Below are 22,303 nucleotides of genomic sequence, written 5' to 3'. Positions count from 1 at the left end.
TCCCATCAGATGGTTAATGAACACAATGCTATGTAGTCTGAAGGAAATAGAAACCTTTGAAAAGGCTTCACAAAGATACCGTTTTTTTGGGGTGAACGTTGAGGGAAGAGGCTGGCGGAGGTGTCAGTATTAAAGGAATATCCGGGGTAGGGCTTGTTCGGGGAACAGTGTGTCGGTGTGGCTGGAGCAGAGTTCATGTGCAGAGTTGCTGCAGGAGACAAGCCTGGAAAGGAAGGCAGCCATCATCATTTATAGAAGATTGGAGTAAGGGGGGTTTCTTCATTTGGTTCATGGGAAACTGGTTTTTTTAAAGTTTTATTTATTTATTGTAGAGATGGGATCTTGTTACACCCAGGCTGGTCTTGAACTTCTGGCCTCAAGCAGTCCTCATGACTTGGCCTCCCAGAGTCCTGGGATTACAGATGTCAGCACCACTGTACATGTAGCAGCATCTAGAATTCGTGGTTTGAGGGCTGACTAACCAGTCTGTGATCTGAACTGACAGATAAGGAAGTTATAAGACAAGTGATAATTGATGAGTTAGTAATTTAATAAGGAGTCTAGGAAAGTAGAGTAACACCTAAAGTTTTTGAACATGCGTGCTAACATAGGGTTTTCTTTTTTTCCTTTGGTGAACAGGAAGAAAGATTTGGTGTGGAGGAGGTGAGACTAACTTGGTAATTATAGAAGACTAGTTAAAGTAACATGAAGGATAGCTAAATTTTTGGTAGAAAAGAGCAGATATTCTCAGCCTCCTCCCTTTCATAGAGTAGGTTGGGGCAGAATTACTTAAACCATGTATTCAAAATAACTGTGTGAACAACTCTCAACCCTTTTGATAATCACGGTATTGAAAGAGGTTACTGAACCGTGGAAGCACAAAAAAATGTTAAAATCCAAGAGTAAAGAACTATAAGTGAACCAAACTCTCTAAGATGAGGGGAGTTAAGATTTCATCCAGTTAGAGCTGTCTCTCAGTGTCATTGTAAAACCGAAGACTTTGGGCTTAACTTTCTAAGTCTCTTCGAGTTCTCATGGTTTGGGGCTGTAGAGTAATGCAGGTCCTAGCCATTCTGCTCTGCTCTGACATCCTTCCACCTCTTAAATGAGTAGTTTTTAAAGTCCAGATTGAAGAATACATGACAGGTTGAAAACTGGTGACTTTAGGGAAATGGCTTCAGAAAGAAGTGAGGCAGAAGTCATTGGTGATCTTACTGAGTGTTGGCAAGAGCAAAATTTAGACACAAAAAAACTGGGCTTTGGCTGGATGTGGTGGCTCATGCCTGTAATCCCAGCACATTGGGAGGCCAAGGCTGGTGGATCACCTGAGGTCAGGAGTTGGAGACTAGCCTGGCCAACATGGTGAAACCCCGTCTCTACTAAAAATACAAAAAAATTAGCCAGGCGTGGTGGCACATGCCTGTAGTTCCAGCTACTCGGGAGGCCGAGGCAGGAGAATCACCTGAATCTGGGAGGCGAAGGTTGCAGTGAGCCGAGATGTGCCACTGCACTCCAGCCTGGGCCACAGAGCGAGACTCTGAAAACAAAAACAAAACCCTGGGCTTAAATATTACAGGTAAGATGTTTAGGAGTCATTAAGAAGAACTTGGATGTGAGGGAAGGGCAAATGGAAAAAGTTAGAGGGGTTCACAAAGCTCTTCTGGGACTTGGGAACAAAATCTGTCATTTACAAAGTCAGTGACCTTGGAATAAGAACCAGGCAGTTTGAGTGTATACAAGATAATTTCTATCTTAGACATCATATTATCCTCTCCTGTACATCAGTTCTAGTAGAATTTCAGTAAATTACTTCAGCATAATGCATAAACAATTTCAGAAACTAAAGTGCATATCGCAATTTTTAAAAATGAGAGTTAAAATAGTATGTAGGGAATCTCTGGAAGTTGTCTGTCTTAGTGTAAAAGCTTTGTAACCTTAATTGAGTAGTATGCTTGAATTTAGTTGTGTTTAAATTTAATCTCAATAAAAAATGTCTTACGCTGCTCATTATTTTTTAGTAAGACTGATATGTTTTTCTTCATAGTTAATGAATCTGAATGTGATTTTATTGACACAGTGGAAAAAGTATGGGCTCTGAATCAATTTTTGAATCGTTGCTCCATTACCTTTTATTTTCGTGGACTCTGGCAAATTTCTTAATCCCTCAGACTCTCTCTCTTCTGTAAATTGATGATGGTGCCTGCCTTTATGGGCTTGTAGTTAGAATAATGGCTCATAATTAACATTTACCAGGTATTCACTGCACACTAAACACTATTTTAAGCACTTTATACTCACTTTGCTCCCCTAAGGTAGGTTGATAGTATCTCTGTTTCAGAGTTGAGGAAAATGAGGCATAAAGAAGTTAGTAATGTGGTCAAGATTACAAAGCTAGTAAGTGTTAAGAGCAAGGATTTTAACCCAAGTGGTGTAACTGCTTATGACATGAAACACAGTAGGCCCTAAGTACATGGCAGCTCACTTAAGACCATGGTGTGAATTTCTGTTTTGAGGAATTTGTGCATTTTAATAAATATAAGACATTAATGCTTCTAACGAGGAAGGTAGACCTGTGATGGGCAAAACTCCTAGTCTGTAATATTGAAGACTTTCTTATACACACAATAGTGTAATAAGATTTAAAAACTCATTGACGTTGTGGGTTTTGCCCTTAGATTGTAGGCTGCTTAAAGGCAAGAGTTTTGGGGGGTTTGGGTTTTTTTTTTTTTTGTGATGGAGTCTTGCTCTGCCACCCAGGCTGGGGTACAGTGGCGCCATCTCAGCTCACTGCAACCTCTGTCTCCCGGGTTTAAGCAATTCTCCTGCCTCAGCCTCCCGAGTAGCTGGGATTACAGGCATGCACCACCATGCCTGGCTAATTTTTTGTATTTTTGGTAGAGATGTGCCCCAGCCAAGGTTTTTGTTGTTGTTTTTTAAAGAATGAAATGGGCTGGGCATGGTGGCTCACGCCTGTAATCCTGGCACTTTGGGAGGCCGAGGCAGGTGGATCACCTGAGGTCAGGAGTTCGAGACCAGCCTAGGCAACATGATAAAACCCCATCTCTACTAAAAATACAAAAAATTAGCCTGGCGTAGTGGCGGGCACCTGTAATCCCAGTTACTTGGGAGGCTGAGGCAAATTGCTACAATCGGGGAGACAGAGGTTGCAGTGAGGCGAGATTGTGCCATTGCACTCCAGCCTAGGCGACAGAGCGAAACTCTTGTCTCAAAAAAAAAAAAGAGTGAAATAGAATATTGTAAGTTTAAGGTTAGGTTCGTGTCACTCAACCAGGTGATTTTACCCACTCCCCACTGCCCCCAGCGGAATTTTGGCAACATCTGGAGACCTTTTGGGTTAAGACTTGAGGAAGGAAGGTGCTGCTCACGTCTAGTGGGTAGAGAGGCCTGAATGCTACTAAACATCATGCGGTGCACAGGACACTCCCCAACGAAGACCCCAGCCCCCCCCATGCCAATAATGCCAAGGTTGAGATGCCTTGGATTAGTCCATAAATAAAATGAGCTGTATTAAGTTGTATTGGATTGTGTCATGCTGTCCTTTGGCTTCTTCCTAACGTGTTGATATCTTACCTGAACCTCTTGTCTAGCTAGACTTGTCATTTTTCCCCTTGTCATTATTGTGTGTATGCTGTTCAAACTCTACAGTTCACCTTACTGAAACTTATTCAGTGGGTCCTATTTTTTGTTTGGTTTGATTTGATTTGTTTTTATTTTTGAGACAGAGTCTGGCTCTGTGGCCTAGGCTGGAGTGCAGTTGCGCCATCTGGGCTCACTGCAACCTCCACCTCCCGGGCTCGAGCCATCCTCCCACCTCAGCATCCGGAGTAGCTGGGACTACAGGCACTTGCCACTATGCCTGGCTAATTTTTGTATTTTTTGTAGAGATGAAGTTTTGCCATGTTGCCCAGGCTGGTCTTGAACTCCTGAGCTCAAGCAATCCACCCAGAGTGCTGAGATTACAGGCGTGAACCACTGTGTCTGGCCGGGTCCTATATTTTCAAAGTGCCACTTCTTCATAGTTGTCTCCAAAGCCCTGAGCTCTTTTAAAGACTTCGCACAGACTGCAATTATATTGAAATCTATTAGATGCAGTGAAAATTGATGAACGGCAAATCTCCTCCCCTCCTTCATAGTAGCTTGGCATATGTGGTTCAGACTTTTTAAATTTAATTTTATTTATTTATTTATTTATTTTGTTGAGACAGAGTTTTGCTCTTGTTGCCCAGGCTAGAGTGCAGTGGCGCAATCTTGGTTCACCTCAACCTCTGCCTCCGGGTTCAAGCAATTCTCCTGTGTCAGCCTCACAAGTAGTTGGGATTACAGGCATGCACCACCACACCCGGCTAATTTTGTATTTTTAGTAGAGACGAGGTTTCTCCGTGTTGGTCAGGTTGGTCTCAAACTCCCGACCTCAGGTGATCCTCCCGCCTCGGCTTCCCAAAGTGCTGGGATTATAGGCGTGAGCCACTGCACCCGGCCGTGGTTCAGACTTTTAATGCAGTGGTGAACACTGTCAACAATTTTTCTCCAAACAACCCCTGGGAAGAAGATCGTTGTTGCATGCTTTATGCTAGGATTTACTTAAGTTCTCGAAGTGGAATTTCCAAATCAAAAGATGTGCGGTTTTTTCCAGATAGCCTTCTGAAAAGGTATGTGTATACACTGTCATCAGCAGTGGTTGAGAAGGTCATTCATTTCCCCTAACCCTTTCCAGCACAAGCAAGTTTTTAAGGCTAACAAAAATCTGGTGACCAGAAGGTTTAACGTCTTATCTCCTTGTTCAGTATTGGATGTATGAGGACCACCTCCCTTCTCACAAAGGACTGCTTAAGAAAACTAGTATTTTTAAGTCTCATGTAGTTTCATTTAGAACATGATACCATAGCATGGGATTAGTTCAGTCAAGGTGTTGCTTTGGCAGTTGGGAAATCTGGTTGGCTATGGTAATGTTCTCTATTTTTATCATTAAGACCAGTTTTTGTATTTAACACTAATCCTTTCCAAATGGCAACAGAAAACGTATCTGAATTCATACCACTGACTTTCTGGATATCAGGGAGGTGGTAGAGAGACATCATTTAAAAGATGTGAAGAGAAGCAAAGTTTATCCATTGCTACTTTAATTAAACTCTTAATCCATAGATAAGTCAGTGATAAATATGATAAATTACTAGATTTGAAACTATTGTTTGCATATTGAGTATTTAAAGACAAAATGATGATAATACCTAGGACTTCAGAGTAATTGGGGGAATACAGATGAAACAGGAGTGTCTATGAATTAATATAGTTGCAGCTGGCTTTAATTGGAATTCATTGTACTATTCTTTGTTCTCCTGTGTACCTTTAAAATTCCCTATTATAAGTTTTTCCTCCCCTAGAAATTCCACTCTTAGGTGTTTACGCAAGAGGGAATGATGCATGGGGCCAAGGCGCATAGGTACAAAAATGTTAATAACAGCTTTATTCTAAGAGCAGAAAACTAGAAATAATCCACTAGTAGGAAAATTGATAAACACTGATGTATTCATAAATGGAATACTATTCAGCATTAAAATGAATGGACCACTGATACTACAATATGATTGAATTTCAAAAACATGCTAGGTGAAAGAAACTTTGCATGAAAAAGTACATAGTGTATGTGATTCCATTTATATGAAATTTTAGAACAAACACAACCTGTTTATGGTAGGAAAAAAAATCAGGAATAATGGCCTCTGTGGGAGAATAGGCAGAGATTGGGAAGGGGCAGGCTTCTGGGATAATTGTATTTTTTTTTTTTTTTAATACTTTAAGTTCTGGGATACAAGTGCAGGACGTGCAGGTTTCTTTCATAGGTATACATGTGCCATGGTGGTTTGCTGCACCCATCAGCCCGTCATCTACATTAGGTATTTCTCCAATGCTATTCCTCCCCTAGCCCCCGACGCCCTGACAGTCCCCGCTGTGTGATGTTCCCCTCCTTGTGTCCATGTGTTCTCATTGTTCAACTCCCACTTGTAAGTGAAAACATGCGGTGCTTGGTTTTCTGTTCCTGTGTTAGTTTGCTGAGAATGATGGTTTCCAGCTTCATCTATGTCCTTGCAAAGGACATGAACTCATCCTTTTTATGGTTGCATAGTATTCCATGGTGTATATATGCCACATTTTCTTGATCCAGTTTATCGTTGATGGGCATTTGGGTTGGTTCCAAGTCTTTGCTATTGTGAATAGTGCTGCAATAAACGTATGTGTGCATGTGTCTTTATAGTAGAATGGATAATTGTATTCTTTAGTTGATATGGGTTTGGGTTTTATACATTTGTCAAAACTCAGCAAATGTACACCCAAGATTTGTGCATTTTGTATGTAAATTTTGCTTTGAAAAAAAACTAGTGATATGCCTGTACTTATGTCTTCAGCTTGTAACTGCTAGAAATGTATGGGTATCTGAAAAAGCAAGTATGGCAAAAGGTTAATGGTAAGATCCAGGTGGTGGATATGTGGGGGTGTTCACTGTAATTGTTGGTTGCCATGTATTGGGGGTTATGATATTTCACATCACTGGTTGAGTGTCTTTAATACATATAGCAAGAAGATAGTGTGTAGCCTGTGTCTTGTTATCCTCAAGATACGAGAATGTATAGAACGGTATTGATCCCCACTTAGGAGACATCACTGGCACCATCACTTTTTTGTTTGGGTGATGAGTGCTAAGTAGATTGATGGAGTTACCAGATGCTGTGTAAGACGTCTTAATTGGCCATACTCTGGGACAGTGGTTCACAAATTTGATCTCAGGACCCCTTTTTAGAAAATAAAATAACTTTAACAAAAAATTGAATGAGAATAGCGGCATTGCATTTCATTCAACCTATTGTAGTATTCCACCTCCTGTAGCTTCTGGAAAACTCCACTTGTGAGAAAATGACAGTGGAAAAAAAGCAAATATCTTAGACTTATGAAAGTGGTTTTACTTTGTCTCCTCTCCACCCCACAAAGGATATAGGGGAGACCTCTAGGGGTTCCCAGACTATACTTTGCCCTATGAGAATTTAATTACTGAAGTTAATAGTAGAACTGCTGTTCTACGAGAATTTTATTACTGTGTTTGGGTGATTGAGCAGTTTATTTTCTGAGTAGTCATCATATGTGGTGATAATGGAATTTGTAAAACCTTCCCCACCCTTCCCATTTCTCTGCCCCTGCACCCCATCTTATCCCTAGGAATATAGGTTTGAAGACCAGGAAAATCACAGATGTGATAATGAAGAAAGGAGAATAGTTGATATTAGACATTGGGTAATAAAAGTCCCTGTTAATTCCTGGAAACCAGCTAAAGATCTGGTATGTTGGAATGTCTTTCTGCTTTCTTGTGTTGAGAAGGATAATATGAAGTTAATAATCTCTTAACTTGCCCCTCCCAATACCTGACCAAAAAGCAGAGTTGACATCCATGAAAAATATGGATAATGGTCTTTCAGAGCTGGTTGCATTTAAGTTTTAAAAATACACAGCTTTTGGAGGCAGTAAGTCAGGTTAGCTGTTAACCAGCATTGGTCAAAGTATTTATCAGTGAAACTTGTCTTCATACCAACCTTTGATTGTCAGTTTACATGTTTTTCTATCCAGATGAGTAGTATTTCATGATCTCTTTGTCATCTGGATTTTTACTACAGTATCCAGTTGGGTTTGGCACAGTGTGGTACTAAATACATATTCTGTACGATACTCTTCATTTGAACATTCTGTCTCCTGTACCTTTGCTACAGGCTTTACTTAGAGAAATGGAAAAATAATGGTGCAAGTGGTGAGACCATGATGATAAGAACTTACATAAATTTAAATGCTTTCTTAAAGGATGGTCATAGATTGTGAACGTCATGTCGCGGTGATTGGAGGAAATAAATGGAGAAGTGTGTGAAAATGCTTTAAAGCCATAAGCTATATGGATCATCAGATTAGACATTTTATTCCTGAATAACTCTTACTGCTGTTGTTCTTCAATAATTAGTACTCCATTTTCCCTCTTGTTTTGTACATTCCACCAAACATTACTTGAATGCAGCTCACAGGATTTTTGCTCTTAAAAGCTACAGTTGTTAAACCTCTGCAGTTAAACATATTTATACTAGGTGTTCTGATCTTTCAGCCTGGTACTGTTTCCAGTCATTTGGGAATATACTTTTTAGATCTTCAGTGCTAGTGTTTGCCCTCTTGGGATTCTGATGGATAAGAGGTTGGAAAGGTTACATTACGGATTTAAAATACTCTTGATTATTTGGTGCCTGATTGCAGAGACCACCATTTGGAAGGATAGAATATCCCATTAAATATAGCTATGCTCTGTGGAAGTTACTTTTTACATAATTAAATTTTTAATATATTTTTAATTTTTTTACATGTAACTCTTTGTTTTTTTGTGTATGTTTTTTTTTGGTGAGACAAGGTCTCCCTCTGTCTCCCAGGCTGGAATGTAGTGGCACGATCTCAGTTCACTGCAACCTCTGCCTCCTGGGCTGAAGTGCACATATAACATTTAAACATTTAATACCTTTTTTTGGTATTACTGTATTTATTGTTAGGGTTTTTCATGCCTTATTTCTTGCTGTTTTAAATAGTACAGTGTACACTGATGCAGTTTGAATAACTCAGCAGGTAGGATTTAAGGTTGTATACCTCTATTTTGTTGTTGACGATCAGCTGTACATCTCTGGAAGGTGATCCTTCTTATACAGATACCAAAAAGCACTTAGTGATTTATTTTTTGTCCAGGACAGGTTTCTGAACATTTCTGCTTGTAATCAAAATGGCCTGGTAAATGTTTATAAACTTATTTTAGCTATTGATGAAACTACTGTAGTTTTCTTTTAAGTTTATATCAGGATACCAAAGCAACATATTTAGCCCCCACGTCTGTTGAGTCTTTAAAGGACCTACTAAGATTATTAGTATAGATTCTCAAATATTATTTTTTCAGAAGGATGTATTCCTCTTTTTTGCTGTGGTAGTAGAATTTGTAATTAGAGTTTATGGAGAAAAAGGACTAAGGGGAAGGGTGGAGGTCACAAATTTATAAAAGCCCTGAACTATTTCTCATTTAACACGTATTCTCTGATCATTTTTTCTAGTGTGTTATTTTTGTTTGTTGTTTTGAACATCTGAAATAAACATAGGCTGGGCAGGGTGGCTCACACCTATAACCCTAGCAATTTGGGAGGCTAACACGGGAGGATTGCTTGAGTCCAGGAATTCGAGACCAGCCCTGGCAACAAAGTGTGAGACCCTGTCTCTACCAAAAAAAAAAAAAAAAATCAAAACAGTGGCTGGGGATGTGGTATGTGCCTGTGAGCTAACTGGCGGTTGAGGCAAGAGGGTCTCTTAAGCCCAGGAGGTTTAGGCTGCAGTGATCCGTCTTCCTGCCACTTCACTCAAGCCTGGGTGACAGACCTAGTCTCTGTCTCAAAAAAGAAAATGAAACAAAGACAACTCTAAAGAGTATAGGCACATATATTGAAAAGTCATAGTGATGATTGCTACACAAATAATTTCCCTCTTTAGAATTAATTTCTCTAAGGAAACTTATCTCCTTTCCTTAAGTTTCAAAGAAATGTTTACAAAATAATTTGGCTTAGTTGCAGATACTATCCTTGTTAGAGAAGCTATCTTGTTTTTTGTTGTCCTTATGTAAAAACTTGGAGTGTCAGTTTACATATATTTTAAAATTAAATATAATTCAAATACCATAAATTTTACCTTTTTAAATATGATTCTGTGGTTTTTAGTTTATTCACAAAGTTGTGCAGCCATCATTATTAATTCCAGAACGTTTTCATTACCACAAATTCTATATCCATTAATAGTCATTCACTATCTTCCCTTACCTCAGCTCCTGACAACTACTAATCTGCTTTCTATCCCTATAGATTTGCCTCTTCTGGACATTTCATATAAACAGAATCATATAATATGTAGTGTTTTGTGTCTGGCTTCTTTCACTTAGCCTAATGCCCTCAAGGTTTATTTGTGTTGTAGCTTGCATCAGAACTTTTTTTTTTTTTTGGCAGAGGGTCTCACTCTGTCACCCAAGCTGGAGTACAATGGCACGGTCATGACTCACTGCATCCTCAAACTCCTGGGCTCAAGGGATCCTCCTACTTCAGCCTCCCAAATAGCTGGGATTACAGATGTGCACCACCACCCTCAGCTGATTTTTTAGAGATGGGGTCTCACTTTGTTGTCCACGCTGGTCTCAAACTCCTGGGCCAGATGATCCTCCTGCATGGCCTCCCAGAGTGCTGGAATTACAAGTGTGAGCCACCACACCTAACCTTTTTTAAATAAAACTCTTATAGTGTGGTAAGATAACACGTAACATAAAAGTTAGCGTTTTAACCCTTCTTAAGCTACAGTTCAGTGGTATTAAGTACATTCATTTTGTCGTGCAATGCAACCAGCAACCATCGTCTGCAACTCTTCATCTTGCAAAACTGAAACTCTATACCCATTAAACAGAAGCTCTCCATTCCCCGCTGGCAACCACCATTCTACTTTCTATGAATTTGACTACTCTAGGTACCTCATATAAGTGGAATTATAGAATAGTTGTCTTTTTGTGTCTAGCTTATTTCATTTTGCATAATGTTTATGTTGAAACATGTATCAGAATTTTGTGCTTCTTTTTGTGGCTGAATAATATTACACTGTATAGAAATACTACTTTTTTTGGACGGACGTGGTGGCTCACACCTGTAATCACAGCACTTTGGGAGGCCGAGGCGGGCGGATCACGAGGTCAGGAGATGGAGACCATCTTGGCTAACATGGTGAAACCCCGTCTCTACTAAAAAAAAAAAAAAAATTAGCCGGGCGTAGTGGCAGGCACCTGTAGTCCCAGCTACTCGGGAGGCTGAGGCAGGAGAATGGCGTGAACCCAGGAGGCGGAGCTTGCAGTGAGCCGAGATCACTCCACTGCACTCCAGCCTGGGCAACAGAGTAAGACTCTGTCTCCAAATACAAAACAAAACAAAACAAAGTACTACTTTTTAAAAATCTTTTGTCCATCGATGGACATATTTGGGTTGCTTCTACCTTTAGGCTGTTAAGAATAATGCTGCTGTGAGAATTTGCTTGGGCATGTTTTCATTTCTCTTGTGTATATACCCATTTAATGTTTTAGGAACTGCCAGATTGTTTTCCGAAGTGGCTGTACTATCTTACATTCCCACCACAGTGTAAGAGAGTTCCAGTTTCTCTACATCCTCACCAATCCTGGTGGATATGAAATGGTATCATGTACTTATTGGCCTTTAGTATATGCTCTTTGGAGAAATGTCTGTTCAGATCCTTTGCTTGTTTTAAAATTGGGTTATTTGTGTTTTTATCATTGGGTTGTAATCTTTTTTTTTTTTAAATATATTATGGATACTAGACCTTTATCAGATAGATGATTTGCAAATGTTTTTCTCCCGTTCTGTGGATTGTCTTGTTAGTGTCCTTTGAAGCAGAAACATTGTTAATTTTGAAGTCCTTTTTTTTTTTTTTTGGTTGCTTATGTTTTTGGTATAAGATCTAAGAAACCATTGCCTAGTCCAAGGTCATGAAGATATATACTTATGATTTCTTCTAAGTTTTATCATTTTAGCTCCTGTGTTTAGGTCTTTAGTCCATTTTGAGTTCCTTTTTGCATATGGAGTGAGGAAAAGGTCCAATTTTATTCTTTTGCATGTGGATATCCAATTGCCCTGGCACCATTTGTTGAAATAACAATTCATTTATCCTTGATCTGAAATTCTCACACTTATAGAAAATATAATCAGATCTAATTGGGTATAAGGAAAACTCATGATTTCTGTGGTTCCTGTGTTCTAGCCAAGTTGACAGCGCTGTATTTTGTTTCCATTACTCTACTGTAATGTATTCCCTCTCCCTTTCTGCACGCTGAAATCACACCCATCCTACGAAATGCAATTTGGGTACTATTACGTTCTATAGTTACAAATTATAGCTTGTTAATACTTTTCAATTCTGTTACCTAGCACCATCCAGTGTGCAGTTATGGGTAGATAAGACATGAGTAAGGAAATTGTAAGGAAATTGAGGCATGTTAATTTACTCAGTTCCACAGCTAGTTAGCTGTGAAACTCAAATTCCCCTTTTCTAGAATCGTGTTCTTTGAGTTCTCCTACTGCCTTTCATTGTAGAGCCCTCCTTTACAGGACCCTGTTCTTCTGAGATCATCTCTCCTTTCTCTGAATTCCCTTGTGTGTAAGTGGGGAAGAATCTAGGCTTTAAATATATATGCCCTTCAACCAGTGTGCTCCCTTTTATCTGTTTTAATATATACTGGTATTGCTCATAAAGACTTGGGGAAGGAATAATTACTGCTTCTTCACTCAATCATTACCATGTAACATGGAGTTTGGGTTCCCTAAGAGGACCTCTGAGACCTTCCAGCATTTTTCTTCAGCCTCTTTTCTCACTCATTGTTCCCTCTGTCCTCCAACCACATGAAACTACCTGTGGTTCTTTCCTATATTGCCCACTTTCTTACCTTTGCTCTAGTTCTTTTTTTTTTTTTCTTTTTATTATTTTCTGAATTGAAAAAAATTCTTTTTAAGACTAGTCAAGTGCAGTAGTGAGAAAGGGGGAAGAGTAGAACAAGGAGTTTGATTTGGTAACTGAATGAACAATCAAGATAACTCCTTACCTTCGGACCAGCCTGCTCTAATTTTTTACCCTCTGTAATAATATGTGATTATGTTTATATAGTGTCTTCTTTTTCACCAAGTTTGGTAATGAGATCCAGTTCAGTTCTATATTGTCTGGAGTTTACCGGTTTCCTAAGTTGCTCTTGTGACTGCTAGCAAAGTAAATTATGCCCAATTCAGATCAGTATTGGTAAGCTGTAAGGACATAAGAATAAGGACTTCATCTTTATTTTTTCCTCTATGTACTGTTAAACACTACTTCATGTCCAGGGTTTTTATGTTGTCCCTGGGGGTTCATTTGAATATGATCAGTAACTCATATAAGTTTAGTTGTAAATGCGAAATAATTTTCTTAACCATAGGCTCTTAAATTCCTGTTGACTCTATTCTTCCCTTTGTACCCCATAACAGAGCTGATAGACTAGAGGCAGGAAGGGGTTGTATATACTTCAGCTGCAGAGATAAATGTATATGGCATGTGTTAGTTATAAATGGAAAAGTTAGCCTGCAAATAATGACGTAATTTCTATAACGTAGTAGTGGCTTAATTCAGTTTGCCATAGACTTAGGCAAAGCTCAAATCAAAGTATACTTGTGTCCTTGCTAGTATAAACCATTTTCTATCTTTAGTAGTCTTCTTAGGATATAGCAAAACTTGACCCATATATACTAAGCTAGCAAGGCAATTTTGACCTATTTTTGTTTAATGCAACATCCTTTTATTAGGTATCAGGATGTCTGTCCATTTTGATTACTTTATGACCAGACCAAGATTTGACTTTTGCCCCCCATTTTAAGGAAAGTTCTTTGTTTCTTCTTTATGATTTGTCCTTTTCCTCCACAAATTAATGGCTAAAAAACAGATGCCTTTCCCAAATCAGTAGCTAAAACAGCTTGTGGATGCTAGTAAATTGTAAATTCTCTAAGGGGAAGAAAGTGTGTATAGACTTTGGCGTTTATTTGCCTTGATTCTTTTTGTAGCACTGTCCTGGAAATGTTGTTAAATGATGGTGATGTATGTGTAATTGTTTTTAATGCAGATTGACAGATTTGGAATGTAGTATGTGTCACCAGTGGAAGTATTAAACTTTTCTTCCAAACCTGAATATCCTGGGAATCTTGGAGCAGAAGGTAGAACATTTTATATTGCGGTTATGGCCACTCAGTATCCAGCTTCTAAAATGTGGGGATATAGCATAGGAGCCCAGAGACTGGACATTATGTTTATTGCTAATAGCATCTGGAATTGGTTAGGCTGCATTGGATGAAGTGAAGGAACAAACACTCTGATTTTCTCTAATACTGTCACATTGCAGCTCACCCATACCCTTACTTTATTGCCTCATGACTTGTCAGAGGCTACCATCTTTCTGTTAGGTATCTTCACCACTGCAGTCACAGCACCTCAGTACCTGAGTTGGAAGACAGGGTGAACATTTTTCCTCAACTACATCTTTATTTTTTTTACGTGGTTAATTGTTTGGGGCAGGGGCAAGGTAATACTGTGCTCACAAAAAGGCTGTCCCTTTCCCTGTAAGACACCACTGTGCTATAGCAGATGTTGATAGCAATATTACTGTATGTAATTTTGCCTGGGTTGTGGGATGGTGGTGGCTAGAGATCAGATGGACTGGGAAAAGATGTCGAGAAATATTTGGGTCATGGAGATAATGCTGCTTCTCTTTGTATTTAGAGTCTTGGATTCTCTTCATCTGCTGCTTCCCTTTCTCTTTTGCCTGTTTATCCTGTGGGTTTTAGCTCCTTATTTTCTTTAGCCCACAAAAATAATAAACCACTTGATTGCATAAGCCTACCCTTAGGCTTGTATTTGCTTTCACTATAACTACAGTGGCACATATCCCACTGAGTGTGAGGAGCCCATATTCTCTGACATCATGACAACTTATTGTTTAATTCATGACATTAATTTGGCAAATATTCCAGTTAATGTTGGGTTTTATGCCTTTTTTGTTCCTTTTAGACTTAAATCTCAAAAGTTTGAAAACTTTTTATGTGATGTGATTTTTAGTCTGCACAAATACTGATGTTAATCCTTTTTCATCCAGAAAAGCAAATTCACATTAATGAGTGCTCCATATGAAGGCCCAATAACACTTTTTAAAAAAAATATTTTTGAAGGATTTTCCCTCTTCTTATCAGGATAAGGAAGAGGTAGTAGGGTGCTAGACGAGTAAAATAGTGTACATTCATGGTTGAGGGTTTGTCCCTCCCTCATCCTGTTGGCTCTATGTCTAATTTGTTGGTCTGTTGAGAGAGGAGCTGCAAGGATTAAGTCAGGCAAAGAGACATGATCGAGCCATGTTTATTGTTTGTTGGTAAATGTACAGGAGGACCCAAATTACCACTAGAAGATTGAGTGGTGAACACAGAAATCAACAAGAGGCTGTAGTTGGATGACCTTCATGACCAGTCACTCTAATAGTGCTGCATCTAGCCTCAGTGTAGCTGCCTTACTGTTGAAAGACTGTACTCATGGGCTCGGGTGGCTTTATCTTTGAGTAGTGCTGGAGATACTTAGTGTTGCTTTTTAAACTTTCCTCCCAATACCTGCTGTATTCCTAGCATCCTGACATGAAGAATACTTGCATATGTTACTTCTTAGAGTGCCACTTAGGTTTTTGGGAGGCACCTTGTTGTTGCTCCACACTCCTCCTACTGGTCCAGAAAAGGTTATAATAGACATAAGGTTGATGTCAGTCAGGACAATGCTTCCCAACTCCTTTTGTGTAATGGCACACAGAATAACAATCTTTGTATAGTACAGAGGAAAATGGATTTCTCACCCTGCTGTGGTGGTTACTAAGGGGATCAATATCTCTTTACCATTTAAATTACCTGGAAGCTCTAGGTTAGGGTCTGATTCTGCAGGACCTTGAGTCTGCAGAACAATGTCTGGCTTTAAGTTTATCCTTTAACAGGCCATTGGGGGTTTTGAGAAGGAGTTAACGTGCCCGCAATGGAATTTAAGATTAATCTGGCAGCAAGGTGTAAACTGGATCCGAGAAAGAGGAACCCAAAAACCTGGTAGATCAGTTAGATTATTGGAGCAGTTGAGGTGAAATGATACAGTTAACTTGGGTAATAGAAATAGGAATGAGACTGAGAAGATAGATTTTCAAAAATACTGTGACACTGTGAAAAGGTGAAATCAGTAGGACTTTGGCAATTTGTGGTGGAATGGGAAATGGAGAGTGAAAACTCAGAGGTAGTGTGGATGAACGTAGGTGGCTGGGAGATCAGAGGGTGAGGGAATAATTGGTAGAAATAAGTAATGTAAGTATAGAAACAGGGATGGGCGCAGTGGCTCACGCCTGTAATTCCAGCGCTTTGGGAGGCCAAGGCGGGTAGATCACATGAGCCCAGGAGTTTGAGACCAGCCTGGCCAACATGGCCAAACCTCATCTGCTAAAAATACGAAAATTAGCTGGGCGTGGTGGTGCACACCTGTAATCCCAGCTACTCGGGTGGCTGAGGCACGAGAATCGCTTGAACCCGGGAGGCAGAGGTTGTAGTGAGCTGACATCGCACCACTGCATTCCAGCCTCTGGGTGACACAGTGAGACCTAGCCTCAAAAAAAGAGTATAGAAACAGGTTTGGGATCTAGTAGATATACATATTTCAAAATATGTAAGGATACTAAGCCATGTAACACTACAGAGAAGTTAGGAGTGTGTATGTGTTGGGGGGTATTTCCCAAAAGATGGAGCGGGAGGGTTAGCATTACTCTTGTGAGTTTACTGCAATTCATGGTGTGGCCTTTAGCTTTGTGAGCTATACCAGGGTGGAGCAATCTTTCAAGCCTAGATCCACAGTGATCAAGCTCATGCGACTGGTGCATAAAACCAGGAAAGTTAGCTTATTCATTTACAGTGAGCCATAACTAGCACAAAGATTGCAGTACTGTGTTGACATGACTAGTATGTTCTCTTTCAGGAGGCAGATAGACTCACGTAGGAATCAAGACATAATCATTAAATTGTTTAGTAAGTGTGGTATGACAGAGAAGAGTTGGATGCTGCTCAAATGTTGAATGACCATCGTCTCCACAGTAGGGGGTAGATTTGTTAGTGCACTGATTGTGGTTCACACTTTTTTAGACTGTACATTGGATCCTTCAGTGTCCTTATGTATCAAACCCGGACAAGAAAATATCTTTTCTTTCAGTGGCTCTAAAGAGAAGGGAAATATATGTTCTCAAAGTATACTATGCTTACTTGTCTGAGAAAAGTTTCCAAATCAGTCTTGACTTCCTGGAGAAAACTACTTCCAGGGGCTTGGGTGACTAAATATAGAAGGCAGGGAGAATGAGTCCAAAGAAAGAGTAGGGTGACTCCTAGGTTTCTGCCTAGGGCTACTGAGTACTTTTCCTAAGACAGAAAATCGAGTAGGGGAGCAGAATCAATAGTAGATCGTGTCAGGAAGGTAAATTTAATTTTTAAAAAATGAGTAGGCAGGGTGCGGTGGCTCATGCCTGTAACCCCAGCACTTTCCGAGGCCGAGGCAGACGGATCACCTCAGGTTGGGAGTTCGAGACCAGCCTGACCAACATGGAGAAACCCCGTCTCTATTAAAGATACAAAATTAGCCGGGCATGGTGGCGCATGCCTGTAATCCCAGCTACTTGGAAAGCTGAGGCAGGAGAATCGTTTGAACCCAGGAGGTGGAGGTTGCAGTGAGCCGAGATTGCGCCGTTGCACTCCAGCCTGGGCAAGAAGAATGAAACTCTGTCTCAAAAAAAAGAGTAAAGTTTAAAGTTCCAGTGGTCCATCCAGATGTTAATATATGTCGGAGGCACTTGGTATGGTATGTAAGAGAAAGATTTGTGTCATGCTGTATGACACAATTGAGGGTTATGTACCAAGCAGAGTTTGTGTTAACTCATTTAATCTTCACAACAACCCTATGAATTAAGAACTGTCAGTAACTGTTTTACAGATGAAGAAACTGAGATACAACTAGGTAAGGAGCAAATTTGTGAGTTATTAGCATGTAGATATTGGTTAAATCATACCAGTGAAATGGACCCATGTCGTCTTGTCATTTACCTTAAGATAGATACTGGGCTGTTGAAATATTTAGGATCCTTGATTATTCTAGTGAAACATTTTCTTCTGGAGCAAATAATCAATACTTCAGTTGTCAGATTTTAGAAAGTATGGTCTTAAAAGGCAGACACTTGGTAGATTAAGGGGGAAAAAATCATGTAACTGTCCTCCAAAATTAAGATAATCCTCTGAAAGAGATGCGGGAAACACGTGTCCTCTTCATACTTCTTTGCTTTAATAGCCAACTCAGTCCTTTACAGTACTCTTATTTTGGACTGTTAATACTCTAATTGATGACTTCTTTTATTCCATTACTTCTTCCTTCCCACTCTAAAAAAGTTTCTTTTAGTAATGATCTGTGAGTGGGAACTTCTGTCTTTCTGGAAACGTCTTTATGTTTTTGCACTGTTTTTGTGTGGTGCTTTAATTGGTTACAGAATTCTAGTTGACAGTTGTTTTTCTCCGCACTTTGAAGATACTTACTTGATTGTTTTCTGATGAAAAATCAGCTGTCATATTGTTGTTTCTTCCTTTATGGTAATGTGTCATTTCTCTGGTTGCTTTTAAGAATTTTCTTGTCTTTGGCATTCTGCAATTTTACCATGATCTAGGTATGATTTTTTTTTATCTTGCTTGGGATTTATTGTGCTTTTCCTATCTCAAGGTATTTATCCCATTACTGGAAGTCTCGGCCATTATCCCAGAATAACATCTCATCTTCATTCTTTCTGTTCTCTCCTGAAATAGCTGTTGGCTATTACCTTAGACCTTCTCTTTCTATTCGCATCTTATAATTTTTCCACTTTTTTTGTCTTATTCTTTATTCTGTATTCTGAGTAATTTATTCAAATATGCCTTTTGTTGTATTAATTTTCTTTGTCCATCTCCAATTTTAAAGTTGTTTTCATTTTTTTTTATTCTAAAAGCCCTTCCGCTTCTCCCACCTCCAAGCTGCCTTTTAAAATTCACTGTATATATGGTTCATTTCTCCTGGCTTCTGTTTTTCTTTTAAAATCTTTTTGATTGTTTTAGTCAGGAAAAATTTCAAACTTAGGTAGAGGTGAAGAAAATCCTGTAGTAACCCTATGTATCCAGCCTCAACATCTTTAAAAGATTATTTAATTATTTTCAGCATATTTATGTTTTATTATACACAGTTTTAAAGCTCTTGGGAACTGACTATCCTGTTTGTGTCTGCTGACGCCTCATGATAGAGAATCCGTCCCTTGAGTATTTTTGTTATTTTTGTTTGTTTGTTTGTTTGTTTGTTTGATTTGGAGTCTTGCTCTGTTGCTCAGGCTGGAGTGCAGTGGTACAATCTCAGCTCACTGCAAACCTGTACCTCCTGGGTTCAAGTGATCTTCCTGCCTCAGCCTCCTGAGTAGCTGGGATTACAGGCACCCGCCAACACGCCTGGCTAATTTTTGTAGGGACGGGGTTTCGCCATGTTGGCCAGGCTGGTTTCGAACTCCTGACCTCAAGTGATCCACCCACCTCGGCCTCCCAAAATGTTGGGATTACAGGCGTGAGCCATCGCACCCAGCCTGTTATTTTTAATAGCGTGGATGTTGCTTTTTTTTATGGCACTTGTGTGTACCTTAGATTGTGAGAATCTCTCTGTTTACACAGTAGTTTTGATTATTTGTGCTGGGCACACTGTGCTCCAGCCCATTTTTAACATTTTCAGCTTGTGTTTTCATACATCATGCATGAAATAAACGTTTGACTAGCACCTGCACAGAAGAACATAGGTTCGAGTTTCTGCTTTTTATGGGAGACTGCACCCCCAAAAACCCAGGAAGTAGATTTCTGGCTACTTCTCAGCGATGACAAAGTTTTTCTAGGGTCCTCACCCTCCTCCACACTGTTGTTGTGTTGTAAACTTTCACTTATTGCTGTAGCTTTCTTTCCTCCTATCTAGCGCCTCGATGTATTTCCCCTCTTTTCTTTGAAGCTCTACTGTATGTTTTTTCTATTTTTATTTAAAGTATTTCTACTTAGCATTTAGATTATTTTTAGTAGAAGAGGGAGGTATTCTCCGTAAGCTCAGTCTCACTGTGTTGCCGGAACCAGAAAGTCATGTTTCTGTGAATCTATTTTAAGGTTGTGAGTCACACATTTCTTAAGTACTCCATACTGAAAGTGAATGCAGTGTGTTTTAATCTGATATACTGCTCTTTATTGCTCTAAAATTAGTAACATTTGGCCAGGCTCGGTGGCTCACGCCTGTAATACCAGCACTTTGGGAGGCTGAGGTGGGCGGATTACGTCAGGAGTTCGAGACCAGCCTGGCTGACATGGCGAAAACCCCGTCTCTACTAAAAATACAAGAAATAGCCAGGCGTGGTAGCTGGTACCTGTAGTCCCAGCTACTTGGGAGGCTGAGGCAGGAGAATTGCTTGAACCCAGGAGGCAGAGGTTGCAGTGAGCCGAGATTATGCCACTGCACTCCAGCCTGGGTGACAGACTGAGACTCTGTCTCAAAAAAAAAAAAAAAAAAGAGGAAGAATTTAGTAACCTTTAAAATGTGTTACCATTTCATATGGTCAGGTAGACAATAAACACAAATTCAGACTTGCATTTCAACTAAAAGTCTCCTCTTTGTCTATTTTATTTGTGCTGAAATCACAGTCATATTCACTTGCGTTTCTCATGTCGGTCAGAAGTGTTGGTACTGTTTTATCTGATTTAATGTAATAGAAAAATGCCAGGTACGATGGCTCACGCCTGTAATCCTAGCACTTTGGGAAGCCGAGGGGGGTGGATCACGAGGTCAGGAGTTCGAGATTAGCCTAGCCAGCATGGTGAAATTCAGTCTACTAAAAATACAAAAAAAAAAAAAATTAGCTGGGCATGGTGGTATGTGCCTGTTAGTCCCAGCTACTCGAGCGGCTGAGGCAGGAGAATCACTTGAACCTGGGAGGTGGACGTTGCAGTGAGCCGAGATCACACCACTGCACTCCAGCCTGGGCAACAGAGCAAAACCCTGTCTCAAAAAAAAAAAGAAAAAAAAAAGTAATAGAAAAATATTAGGCCAGGCGTGTGGCTCACGCCTGTAATCCCAGCACTTTGGAAGGCCAAGATGGGCGGATCACAGGTCAGGAGTTCGAGACCAGCATGACCAACATGGTGAAACCCCATCTCTACTAAAATACAAAAATTAGCCGGGTATGGTGTCGCGCACGTGTAATCCCAGCTACTTGGGAGGCTGAGGCGGGAGAATCGCTTGAACCCGGGAGGTGGAGGTTGCAGTGAGCCAAGATTATGCTACTGCACTGCAGCCTGGGCGACAGAGTGAGACTCTGTCTCAAAAAAAAAAAAAAGAAAAATATTAAATGCAGTTGTGTTGCCAGACAGGCTGTTTACATATAGTTTCATCTGAGAGACAGCTAAAAAATGAACTAATTAGTATATAGAGTTCCTACAAAGCAGTAAGGAAAAACTCATTAGGAAAAGGGCAAAGGATATACACTCACCAACATGGTGAAACCCCTTCTCTAGTAAAAATACAGAAATTAGCCCAGTGTGGCGGCATGTGCCTGTAATCCCAGCTACTCAGGAGGCTGAGGCAGGATAATGGCGTGAACCTGAGTGGCGGAGGTTGCAGTGAGCCGATATCACACCACTGCACTCCAGGCTGGGCAACAGAGCGAGACTCCGTCTCAAAAAATATACACACACACACACAGACAGATGTTCACCTGCATTTATGATAAGGAAAAATGCTAATAAAACTGTAGTAAGGTATTTTTCACCCATTAGATTGGAAAAGGTTTTTTATTTTTATTTTTATTTTTATTTTTATTTTAGTAGAGACGGGGTTTCACCGTGTTTCCCAGGCTGGTCACAAACTCCTGAGCTCAGGCAGTCTGCCTGCCTTGGCCTCCCAAAGTGCTGGGATTACAGGCATGAGCCACCAAGCCTGGCCGGAAAAGGTGTTTAAAGTTTGTTACACACTGGGTTCAGAAAGATGTTGAGAAATGGGAACATTTATGCATTGCTAGTGGGAGTATAAATTGAAATTAACTCCAGGAAGGACAGTTTAACAATTTATCTTGTGGATCAAGTGTACATTTGGTGCATAGTTGGAAATACCAAGATTGGAAGCAGCTTAAGTGTTCCTCAGAGGAAGCTAAATAAATAATTAGGGTGCCCATACAGTAGAATACTGTACATATAGTGTTATATATAGAATGAGGCAGCTATTAAATATATGGACATGGAATTATCTCAGAGCGCTTACTAAATGGAAAAGCTAAGGTGTAGAATAATGTGTAGTGTGCTAACATGAGGGAGAGGGGAACATACATAGATTTTAAATGTTTTGAATCCTTAAAAGAATGTACAAGAGGCTGGGCGCGGTGGCTCAAGCCTGTAATCGCAGCATTTTGGGAGGCCACAGCGGGCAGATCACTTGAGTCAGGAGTTGGAGACCAGCCTGGCCAACATGGTGAAAACCCCCCTCTACCAAAAAAAAAAAAAAATTAGCCGGTCATGGTGGTGCACACCTGTAGTCCCAGCTA

General features: G+C 40.0%; 1 protein-coding gene across 1 annotated transcript in view, besides 3 other annotated features; it reads left to right on the top strand.

Moving 5' to 3' along the window:
• The window catches only part of YWHAQ (tyrosine 3-monooxygenase/tryptophan 5-monooxygenase activation protein theta), a 47,031-nt gene that overhangs the window by 3,006 nt on the left and 21,722 nt on the right, over positions 1–22,303 (top strand). The gene's annotated exons all lie outside the window — the stretch shown is intronic.
• Positions 19,777–19,826: an enhancer, noted in NCBI's record as "active region_15282". NCBI's record gives its function as "activates an Ori minimal core promoter by ATAC-STARR-seq in GM12878 lymphoblastoid cells {active_cell/tissue: GM12878}" and the evidence as "EXISTENCE:reporter gene assay evidence [ECO:0000049][PMID:35858748]".
• Positions 19,947–20,046: an enhancer, noted in NCBI's record as "active region_15281". NCBI's record gives its function as "activates an Ori minimal core promoter by ATAC-STARR-seq in GM12878 lymphoblastoid cells {active_cell/tissue: GM12878}" and the evidence as "EXISTENCE:reporter gene assay evidence [ECO:0000049][PMID:35858748]".
• Positions 20,097–20,176: an enhancer, noted in NCBI's record as "active region_15280". NCBI's record gives its function as "activates an Ori minimal core promoter by ATAC-STARR-seq in GM12878 lymphoblastoid cells {active_cell/tissue: GM12878}" and the evidence as "EXISTENCE:reporter gene assay evidence [ECO:0000049][PMID:35858748]".

This window comes from Homo sapiens, chromosome 2, assembly GCF_000001405.40.
Source record: "Homo sapiens chromosome 2, GRCh38.p14 Primary Assembly".
In the NCBI taxonomy this organism is placed as follows: domain Eukaryota; kingdom Metazoa; phylum Chordata; class Mammalia; order Primates; family Hominidae; genus Homo; species Homo sapiens.
This window is presented reverse-complemented; position numbering and strand designations above follow the sequence as displayed.